Source organism: Homo sapiens, chromosome 17 (genome assembly GCF_000001405.40).
Source record: "Homo sapiens chromosome 17, GRCh38.p14 Primary Assembly".
In the NCBI taxonomy this organism is placed as follows: Eukaryota; Metazoa; Chordata; class Mammalia; order Primates; family Hominidae; genus Homo; species Homo sapiens.
The window spans coordinates 56,817,802-56,829,883 of NC_000017.11; the positions used below are offsets into that span (position 1 = coordinate 56,817,802).

Here is a 12,082-nt window from a genome sequence, read left to right on the forward strand (position 1 = left end):
TATTAACATCCTTCTGTTTTCACATAATTTTCAATAACTAAGGAATTTTAGAGCATTTTTTTTTTTGAAACATGGTCTCCCTCTGTCACCTAGGCTGGAGTGCACGAACTTGGCTCAGTACAGCCTCAACCTCCCAGGCTTAAGTGATCTTCCTACCTCAGCCTCACTAGTAGCTGGGACTACACGCATGTGCCACCATGCCCAGCTAATTTTTGTATATTTTTGTAGAAATGGGTTTTGCCATATTGCCCAGGCTGGTCTCAAACTCTTGAGCTCAAGCAATTCTCCTACCTTGGCCTCCAAAAATGCTTGAATTACAGATGTGAGCCAACACGTGCAGCTAGTAGCATTATTTAAAAAAAAAAAAAAGAAAAAAGAAAAATTGTCACGTTAAACAGCTTGAGTTTTGTATGTGTATATTCAAATTTTTCACTCCTTTTACTCTTTGTGGTTGGATAGAACACTATTTTGTTTTATCATATCAAATAAATATCTTCTGTGGGCCAGAAACAAAATCTATACTTAGCTATAAATTTCTAATGTGTCCAATGTAAATTTACAATAGAAGTATTTTTTGGCCAGACATAGTAGCTCACACCTATAATCTTAACACTTTGGGATTCCAAGGTCAGAGGATCACTTGAGCCCGGGAGTTCAAGCCTGCAGTGAGCAATGATTATGCCACTACACTCAAGTCTGGACAACAGAACAAGACCCTGTCTCCAAAAAAAAATATTTTTTTAAATTTTGCAACTTTTGTCTATATCAGCACTGTCCGATAAAAACATAAAGCCACAGATGCAAACAACATATGTAATTTAAATTTTTTCAGTAGCCACTTTTTTTAAGTAAAAAGGTTAAATATTTTAATATTATATTTTAACATGATGAAATATCCAAAATATTATTATTTTAACACATAATCAATATAAACAAGTTGTCAATGAGAGATTTTATGCCTTTTTTTGTACTAAACCTTCAAGATCTGGTGTAGATTTTACACTTATACATTTCAAGTGCTCGGTAGCCACATGTGGCTAGTGCTACCATATTAGACAACATGGATCTAGATCCTTCCGTCTCTAATGCCACCACCCAAGTCTAGGCCATTGTTTCCCTCACCCAGCTTCTGGCACCAGGCTCCCAAATGGGATTCTAGTTTCCCTCCCTGTTCACTTCAATCTGTTCTCCAGGTAGCAGCAAGGATGAAATAGAAAGTATCAGTTAGACCTCATCACTTCCATGCATAAGATCTTTCCTCATCTTCCCATGAGAGTCAGAATAAAATTAAAATCCCTACCAAGCACAACAGGACCCTGTGTTTTTTGTGCCTACTGCCCTTTCCAACCTTACTCCAACCACTCCCCTCCTGCTCACTGCCATCTGGCCACACTCACTCACTTTCAGCTTAACAAGCCCACTCCCGCCTCAGGACCTTTGCATGTGCTTTTTCTCCCTCTTTTAATGACTGGATCTATCTCATCCTTCAGGTTTCAATTTGAAATTTCTCCTACTCAGGAAAGCCTGCCCTTACCAGCCTTCTTAATAAAAAGTTCCCTGCCCCCACCACCACCACTCTCCATCTCACAGCACTCACCATAATTTATACGTATTGCATTTATTTACTTTTTAAAAATCTGTCTCCTTCACTGGTAAGCTTTAAGCAAGCTTGTATTATTTTTATAATTTTTTAAAGCATAAGGCAACCTCTGGTGGACTGAGGTGGTGAGACTGGAGAGAGTCGGAGCCTGTATCACACCCTGGGAGGCTGCTGCAAGTCTCGGGTGGGGAGGGCCGTTCAGGTGTGATACTGGCAGGGCCATCAAATGCCCTTCAGCTTGGCCTCTGGATGTTGTCCTAAAAGAAGCGAGAGGGGGAGGAATATAGAAAGACCGAAAGAGCAAAGTGTCTTATTGTGAGTGTCACTCAGGCGGTGAGAATTCTCTTCTAAACCCCATCCCGGTTCTCAGGAAAAGCCCCAGCGGGGTAACGAGGTGAGTCGGCAAGGCTCCCAGTAGAAGACGCAATTCCCAATAAATCCACAAGGTGGCAGAGCAGAAGGTGGAACCAGGGACAACTAAGATCAGGGGAAAGAGCTCAAGGCCACTAAGGTTAATTATTCAAGAAGTTGCCAGCGATTCCAGAGAATCTACTGGAGGTGGAGAGAGAGGGTGCTGCTGCACCTAAAACTATTTCCGTACTTTTATTTTAATTGATGTACTATTGAAGGCATTCATCAGATGTTGTGGCCTAGGAAAGCGGTACAGTAAGTCCTCATAACATTATTGCTGATAAATTCTTGGAAACTGAGACTTTAAGCCAAATGGTCCAGAATGAACCAATTTTACCATAAGCTAATTGATATACACAAGAGGTGAGTTCCTATGGCATATTTCTGGTCACAAAACATCACCAAACTTCTAAATAAGGACCCAAAACATTTCTAATATCAAACGTTGAAGGCTATACATGTATTTAAGAAAGATTAATAAAAACAAGTAAGATAGTTATTAATATTTACCCACTTATTCTAGTTCAGGGCCGTGGTGGCTGGAGCGTGTCCCAGCAGCTCAGGGCACCAGGCAGAAACCAGCCCTGGAGAAGACACCATTCCATCGCAGGGCACACTCTCACACACCCACCCACACACACTCACGCGGGGACAATTCAGACACACCAATGAACATAACGTGCACAGCTTTAGGATGTGGGAAGAAACCGAAGTACCCAGAGAAAACCCACGCAGACATGGAAAGAACATGCAAACTCCACACAGACAGTGGCCCGGGGCTGGAATCAATTTTTTTTCTCATCAACATTGTAATGAAACAACGTTGAAGGAAACAATGTTATTTGAGGACCTGTTGTGTTAACTATTTGATAACATTTAAAAGCCTATAAAGGAATAATGCTACCACCCATATTCACAACACCCAAACACAACTTTTTGTTTGGGTGAGTTTCCCTTTTTTTTTTTTTTTTTTTTTTGGAAGGAACTGTCCCATTACACAGATATTTAAGTGTCATTGACAAATGACAAACCCAACATTCTAGAGTTCTAAATGTCATCACACTGAACTATAGAAACTTTAGAGACAAGAGAACTTCGTTTTGTTTTTGTTTTTTGAGAGAGGGTCTTGCTCTGTCGCCCAGGCTGGAGTGCAGTGGCACAAGCATAGCTCACTGCAGCCTCACCCTCCTGGGTTCCAATGATCCTCCTGCCTCAGCTTCTCAAATAGCTGGAACCACAGGCGTGCACTACCATGCCCAGCTAATTATTTTTATTTATTTATTTATTTATTTTAGAAACAGGGTCTTGCTATGTTGTCCAGGCTGCTCTTAAACTCCTGGGCTCAAGTAATCCTACCCCCTTGGCCTCCCAAAGGAACATTTTTTTAAGTATAGAAAAATGCCAAATCTGTCCCCATCAAGAGAATTATAATGTGTCGACATTTTTTAGGCCCAGGGTAAATTAAATAAATTCTAACAGTCCTCTCCATATTTGCTTTCATCTTTTTTACTGTCTACCTCACATGTACATTGTAAAGAATTATATATACATTGTAAAAATATGGAATTTATAGTATAGTTGGTAGACTAGACTACAGTATTTTTTAAAATAATGATAGTAACTTTAAAGCAATGATAGTAACTCCATAAGCTGTGTGTGGTGCTTATGGGTCTAGATCCTTCCATCTCTATTGTCACCACCCACATCTAGGCCACTGTTATCTCTCACCCAGCACCAGGCTCCCAGCTGGCATCTCAGCTTCCCTCCCTGTTCCTTCAATCTATTCTCTATGCAGCAGCAATGATGATCTTCATGAAATAGACATAGGAAATATGTTAGACCTCGTCACTTTGCTTCCCTGTAAACATTTATTTACAGGCATACTGTGCAGACATATGTTAGGTCTGGGCAGGTGTGGTAGGTTGAATTATTAGCATCAATTCTTCACTACCACCCCAAATTTATGCTCTCTGCCACATGACTTTGCAGCCCCATGTCTTGACTTTGGACTCAACCAGATGACTTGTTTTGGGCAGTGGGATGGTGGCAGACATGACACTAACAAGGGTGTGAAATGGTTTGTGCAGTTAAGTGTGCCCTCTGACATGTCTGTCATTGCTACAAAAAGACCTTCCCCCCGTTGGCTACTGCCCCTTCAAGCTGAGTCTCAGAATTAGCTTACATGCAAAGTAGCTAAGAAAGGAGCCAAGTTTATGCAGATCTGTAGCTTAAAAGAGACCCACTCAACCCAGCCCGGTCTATTTCAGCTGACTTCCAGCTACCACAGCCTGAAGCAGAGCCACATCACCTGCAGATCCCTCAGAATAAATGACAGTTATTTTAAGCCACTAAGACTAGGAGTGGTTTGTTTCATAGCATTACTCTGACAATAGCTAACTGATACAGAGGATTCTAATGGGATGGTTAGTGTGTCCAAATCTGGGTGCTATTGCATCTAAGTTAATAATAGGCTCCTGCCAGAACATTCATTCAAAAGTGACTGAGTTTCTACTGTGTAGGCAGTGTGGTATAATGGTTATGACTGTGGGCAGCAGAGTCATCAACAGACCTGGCCTTGAATGCTGATTCTCAAACTTATTGCCTGTGTTACGTTGGAGCTGAGTGACATTGGGGAAATTTCTTAACTTTCCAAATCACTGTTTTCTCACTTATAAAAAAAAAGAATTATAATAAAATTCACCTCATAAGGTTAATATTTAAAAGAGGTATGTGTAAAGTTCGTGACACATAATAAAAGTCTACTACTTGGAGATCATTGTTATTATTTCTCCTCCTTCTCTATGCCAAATCTCTTTGCATATGCACTCTATTTTGTAAAAATGTTTTGAATGACTAAAGATAGATTAATCACACGTATTAAGACACACAACTTTATTGTTGAAATATATATATTAGAAAAGAAAATATGGTTCATTTCTAATGTGAGTTGACTTGCCCCGTGTCAACACCGCAGGCCCTGGCTTCCCTTTACATATCCTCAGCACTTCTACAGGCATACACCCCTTCCTGTCTGCAGCAGCAATACAATGGTAAGATGTTTTGGCCTTGGACAGGGGCCTTTCCGGCCTGCTGCACGCCTCCACAAGTGGACTCTAATTTCTACTCTGGGTCCAGGATGTTGGCCTCAACTATGTCTGCCCAGCAGGTGAGGACAGCCAAGGTCAGCATCATGTTCCTGATGGCCAGTGTCAGGCTTCTCTCCAACTTAAACAGGGACAAAGGAGCATTGGCACAGGCAGAATCACGTAAGATGGGTATGAATAAACATACTAGGGGAGTGAACCATGCACAAAATAATTTATGAAACCACTTCTAAGGCTACTGTCATACGACATTACATTCAGGAAAAGTGCTAGGCCTCTAATTGGAAGAGAAAAGCTCTAGTTCTGGGGAAAAATACTGAACTGTGTCACTTTTCTTGGTGGGATCTCTGTTGGGATGATTAAGCTTCGGAGAGGTTAGGAGACTCTCTAGCACTGCTTCTCAGGCCATTAGGTGCATTAGAATCACCTGAGGTTCAACAGACATCTAGAACGCCTCTGACATGAAAAGTAAAGACAAAAAAGATAAAAGAAAAAGCAACTTGGGGAAATCAGACACCATGCAATTGGAGAAAATAAATAAATAACATTAATATCCTCTAAGAGACCAAAGTTTTGCTTGTGTGGAACATGAACAAGATGCTGTAAAAAAGGAATGTTCAGAAAACAAATTAACCAAAATACTTCTTAGAAATGAAAAACCATAATAGCAGAAATTTAAAACTCAGTTGAGTCAAGAAAAAAGCTAAGGAAATCTTTTAGAAAAATAGAGCAAAAATGAGGAGGAAAGTTTTAAAAAAACAAGAGAGAAAAACATATTTTTAAAAGACAGGACATTTACCTAAATGAGTTGAAAACTCATGTCCACACAAAAACCTGCACACAGATGTTTATAACAGTTTTATTCATAGCTGGCAAAACTTGGAAGCAACCAAGATGTTCTTCTGGAGGTGAATGGATAAATAAACTGTGGCACATCCAGACAATGGAATATTATTCAGCACTAAAAAAAAATGAGCTATCAGGCCATGAAAAGATATGGAGAAAACTTAAATGCATATTACTCAATGAAAGAAGTCAGTCTAAGGACAGGCTGCCTGTTGAGCCTGATACAAAAGCTTATTTGTACTTTATCTTAATGACTGCTATGATTGGAGTGCCCCTGCCAAAACTCATGTTGAAATTTTATTGCCACTGATGGTGTTGGGAGGTGGGGCCTTTAAGAGTTGATTAAGTCACGGGAGCACCACCCTCCTGAATGGATAAGACTGTTATTTGGGGAGTGAGTTTGTTCTCTTGGGAGTAAATTAGTTCTTATAGGAGTGAGTTAGTTCTCCTGAAAGCGGGTTGTTATAAAATTGAGCCTGGATCACTCTTGTGGTCTCTTTTGCACACACTGGCTTGCCCTTCAGCTTTTTGTTCATGTTATGACACAGAGCAAAAGCCCTCACCAGAGGCTGCCACCATGCCCTTAGACTTCCCAGCCTCCAGAGCTATGAGCCAGATGAACCATTTTTCTTTCTAAATTTCCAAGTCTCAGGTATTCTGCTATAGCAACAGAAAACAGATTAAGACAAGAACCAGGAGCTGATGGGCTCCCCATTCTCCCATGTCCCCATTCCCACACCCCATTGCATGGATTAGCTAAAGATACTCATGTCTCCCTGAGCTGAGCTGCAAAGATTAAAAGCAGCCTCCTTCCTCTTCAGCCATATTTTTGCCAGCTGTTCAAACCACAGCCCTGCTCAGATGCCCTCACTGTGATTAACAATCTTCCCAAGACCTTGCCCACTGACTTCCCCAGGTGGAATCTTCTCAAAGAAACTGAATCCAGACTCTGTCCCAAAGACATTGCTCAACTTACCTCCTGCTGGGAACCTTCACATATCAATGATTTACTGCTATTTCCCAAAAGGGCCAGCTTTGGGCTTTTCAGTCTTTCAAACAAAACTGTATCATTCAGGGATACCCTTAGGCATCTATAAAGAAAAGCAAAGAAATGAAGGCCACAAAAGTTACGATAGTAGTTCCTTCTGATGGGGGAGAAGGTGTATCAAACAAGTGAGCACACAAGAGCTCTCAAATCTTCAATATGTTAACCAGGTTTTTACTATTATTTTTAAAACCGTATATGTGTTTTATAAACTCTTCTGCATGTGTGACACATTTCAAAATATAAACAAAAAAAGTTTGAATAAAGAATTACCTAGGGAACTTGTTAAGAAGTTAGATTCCTAGCTCCACTTCATATTCTGACTTCAGAGACCTGGTCAGGACCACAGAATCTATATTTTAAAATGATGCTGATGCAGGTGATTCAAAATCCACACTCTGCGGTACCCTAAATGGTTGAAGAGCATCACAAACTTTGGCATCAGATAAACCTAAGTTCAAAGCCCCAACTCAGTTGACTCCTGACTGTGTGATATCAAGCAGGTTTTCTTCATCTGTAAAATAAGGATGATAAACTTAACACAGTGCCTAGGACCTACTAACTCATCAACACATGTTGGCCACAAATATTATTATTACTTTTAGTGAATTAAGAGTGTATCTCCTCAGGTGTGGCAATTTCTATTAATCTGTCCCTACACAGGTAAATTTTCCAGATAAAAATTTACTTAGCAAAGAGAGACTACTATTCTTAAAAGCTTTCCCATAAGCCTTAAACTTTTCAAATTCTTTAACTAAATCTGAGAATCTAAGGAAATAACCCTAAACAAAGGAATTATTTATAATAGCAAAATATTAGAAATAGCTACAACAAAAGTAAGGTTATACACACTGTAAGCTATATTCATAGAATGGAGTATAATGTAGCCATTAAATAGGACTTTTTAATAACATATAAAAGTTATTTTGTAATGCTAAATAAGAGCCAGATAGACACTATTATCTACCACATCATCAAAAGTATGCATTAAAAAAAAGTAAATCAGTTTCCATAGAAAATAATGGAATAGACCAAAATGTTCAAACACAGGGTGTCTTTGGAGTGAGAGATGGTGATTCTTTTCTTCCTTTTTACTTTTTCAAATACTCTATAATGGGGATTGGGGGAAACCTGTGAGTGTGTGTGTGTGTGTGCACGCGTGTGTGTGACGGAGTCTCGCTCTGTCACCCAGGCTGGAGTGCAGTGGCACAATCTCGGCTCACTGCAACCTCCACCTCCTGAACTCATGTGATTCTCCTGCCTCAGGCTCCCGAGTAGCTGGGATTACAGGCACGCACCACCACACCCAGCTAATTTTTTATTTTTAGTAGAGATGGGGTTTCACCATGTTGGCCAGGCTTGTCTTCAACTCCTGGCCTCAAGGGATCCACCTGCCTTAGTCTCCCAAAGTGCTGGGATTACAGGTGTGAGCCACCATGCCCAGTCTGTCACTTTTTAAAAGTGTATTATTTTGTTATATCTTCAAATCTAAACTAATTTAAGCGTTCTGCATCAGCTAGGATTCATAAAAGACAATGACACTTTCACACACTGTGCAGGCTACTGAAGCAGAAGTTATGCTTTAGAGATCTCATCTAACCTGAGCCCAAGGAGGTGAACTGACAAGCACAAGGGGACACAGATGTCTGAGGTCCAGGTTCTCTTCCCAGGCCTCACAATCCCATCTAACACTCCTCCCACTTCATTACACTGCCCCTGCGTTTTCACAATACAGACTGTTAAATACTTCAGCCTCCAAACTCAAAAGTGTGGTCCTGGAACTAGCAGCAGCACCTTGGAGCTTCTTAGAAACGCAGGTTATCAGGCCTCTTCCCTGAGAAAGGAAATCAGAATCTGCATTTTAACAAGATTCCCAGGGCAAGGTTCTCAGAGAAGTAGCAGAATAAGAGAAAGTCTTTCTTTAATGGTTTAATTTCAGTTGAAGCTGACTTAGTTGACCAAGTTAAAACAGTGATCTCAGTCCCACCATTGGCTGTGTGACATGAAGCATGTTTCTCAACCTCTCTGTGCCTGGGTTTTTTCATCTGTAAAATGGGGATCATAAACCTACATGGTGCATAGCAAGTGCAGAGATGGAAGCAGGGTGCAGTACCTGTAAACAGTGCCTGTAAATAATGCTTCTTGTTGGTTATGTTTTGACAGGCCTGGCGCTCTGCACAAGCTGTGCAATGCTTGGCACATAGTTAAGTGCTCAGCCAGTACGTGTTTAATAAATAACCAACAAGAGCATAGGTTATCATTTATCAATTTTTGACTTGAACTGTCCCATTCTTTAGTATATAACATTCTCAAAACTGCCAGTTTTCTGCATCCCAACATTCAAAACTGTGCCAGCTCTCACCAGATGGTGAGAAAGTGCGGAGGCTGAAGGTCATAGATAAGCTTAACTCATACTGTAAATCATTCCTACCAGAATTTTTTTTGAGACAAGTAGATTTTATTTACAAATTTCTCCCTCTAAGTGATCATAAAATTAACCAATCCAGGATGCCCACTGCTGATTGAGTACAGGCAGAATGGTGGGGTGTTCTCTGGTGTCTGTTGTGGCTGTGGAATCCATGGTTACTAGGCAGAGCCCTGTGGCAGCACCTTGGAGCTTCTTAGAAATGCAGGTTATCAGGCCTCTTCCCTGAGAAAGGAAATCAGAATCTGCATTTTAACAAGATTCCCAGGGCAAGGTTCTCAGAGAAGTAGCAGAGTATCTTTAATGGTTTAATTTCAGTTGAAGCTGACTTGATTGACCAAGTTAAAACAGTGATCTCAGTCCCACTATTGGCCGTGTGGGACTGCAGTGTCATGGAGGGGCTGCGATCCTCTGTGGAGGTGGACCCTGGACTGAACCCTGGGAAGCTGGATGAGGAGATGGTGGGGCTGCCGCCCCATGACCCAAGTCCTCAAGTCACTTTCCACAGCCTCCATGGGAAGACACTGGTGTGTCCACACCTCACGGGCTTAGTGATGGGTCTTAGTTTTATTCAGACTTAGTCAATGTATTAGGAATGGACTCCGTGTAACGTGGGCATGGAGTATTTAACACACCTCAGACTGTGGTTTTCGAACCGCCTCCATTAGCATCATTTAAAAATGTGGATGCTGGGCCGGTCGCAGTGGCTCACACCTGTAATCCCAGCACTTTGGGAGGCCAAGGCAGGCGGATCGCGAGATCAGGAGTTCGAGATCATCCCAGCCAATATGGTGAAACCCCATCTCTACTAAAAATACAAAAATTAGCTCAGTGTACCCGCACTCCAGCCTGGCGACAGAACAAGACTCAGTCTCAAAAAAAAAAAAAAAAAGCCAGGCACGGCGGCTCACGCTTGTAATCCCAGCACTTTGGGAGGACAGGGTGGGTGGATCATCTGAGGTTGGGAGTTCTAGACCAGCCTGACCAACATGGAGAAATCCCATCTCTGCTAAAAATACAAAATTAGCTGGACGTGGTGGCGCATGCGTGTAATCCCAGCTACTCGGGAGGCTGAGGTAGGAGAATCGCTTGAACCCAGGAGGCGGAGGTTGTGGTGAGCCGGGATCACACCATTGCACTCCAGCCTGGGCAACAAGAGCAAAACTCTTGTCTCAAAAAAAAAAATGTGGATTCTGTGGTCCTGACCAGGTCTCTGGAATCAGAATATGAAATGCAACTAGGAATCCGCCTTCTTAACAAGTTCCCTAGGTAATTCTTTATTCAAAACTTTTTTGATGTTGTTTATATTTTGAAATCTGTCACACATACAGAAGAGTTTATAAACCATATATACATAGTTTCTAACATAAAAATTAAACAAACACCTGTGTACCCACTACCCAGGTTAACATATTGAAGATTGGGAGCTCTGGTGTGCCCAGTTGTTTGGTACACCTTCTCCCCCATCACAGGGAACTACTATCCTAACTTTCGTGGCTTTCATTTCCTTAGTCAACCTGTTAGGAATCGACTCCATGTAACATACGAAAAGCAGCTTGCAGAAACACTGGATTCACACATGGAGGAGAAATGCCAACTCACAGGCAAGCACAGTGATGACAAAAAAAAAAAAAAAAACACTGCAGAGATTGAGGGATCCTTAGAGGATGTCGGTGTATGAAAAAGTATTTAAACATCCCCAGTTTTGTAGATGCTTATAAGGTGAACAGCACCAACGCAATGCTGATGCAGAAATTCACATCCCAGCGGGGCACAGCTGCTCACACCTGTAATTTCAACACTTTGGGAGGCCGAGGTGGACAGATCACCTGAGTCAGGAGTTCAAGACCAGCCTGGCCAGCAGTGAAACCCATCTCTACTAACAATACAAAAATTAGCCAGGCATGGTGGCGGGCGCCTGTAATCCCAGCTACTCAGCAGGCTGGAGCAGGAGAATTGCTTGAACCTGGGAGGTGGAGATTGCAGTGAGCTGAGATCGCACCATTACACTCCAGCCTGGGCAACAAGAGCAAGACTCCATTGCAAAAAAATAAAATAAAATAAAAATCACATCCCTGGTTCAAGAACTCAAAGAAGAGAGGTTTAAAGAAGAAAAGAAAAAAGAAGAGAGATCCAGACTCTCTAAGCAACAAGAAGGGCTGGCAGAGACGTTATCTATGCTGGAGTCCCTGGAAGAGGCCATGGGAGTCACCCCATCACAAGGAGCTTTTCCACACCAGCCAGGCAGCCAAGAGCCAAGCCCTGCTGCTCCCTTCCCCAGGAGGGCTTGGGTCTTAGGGCAGCGCTGTTCTCTCCCCTCCACTCAGGCCTCCAGAGCTGCCAGGCCAGGTTCTCCCATGTTGACTCCATCCGAGGGTCCCTGAGGCCAGTGGATCTAGGGGAGCCCCTTTTTGTGTTGAAGTTTCCACCTTCCCCTTCTGACACTGCAGCCAGCTCCTTCATGGTTGATTCCTCCAAATCTAAAGAATACAGGAGACCCTGGAGCACATCAGCAAAGTCTGGATTCTCTCTCATTAGCAGCAAAAGAAATGCCATACTTTAGAGCCTCATCTTTTGCTCAAACTGAAACATCATCAAACTGCATTTCTCAAGACAATGCTCTGTAAATATTATTTATGTATTAATCTCCT

General features: G+C 41.9%; 1 protein-coding gene across 1 annotated transcript in view; it reads right to left on the minus strand.

Annotated features, from left to right (window-relative positions):
- The window catches only part of C17orf67 (chromosome 17 open reading frame 67), a 42,008-nt gene that overhangs the window by 25,889 nt on the left and 4,037 nt on the right, over positions 1–12,082 (minus strand). Inside the window, exons 3-4 of the mRNA NM_001085430.4 lie at positions 7,280–7,520; positions 6,938–7,052 (exon numbers count right to left, since the gene is read on the minus strand). The gene's annotated coding sequence lies outside the window, so the exon portion shown is untranslated. The remainder of the gene's footprint in view (positions 1–6,937; positions 7,053–7,279; positions 7,521–12,082) is intronic.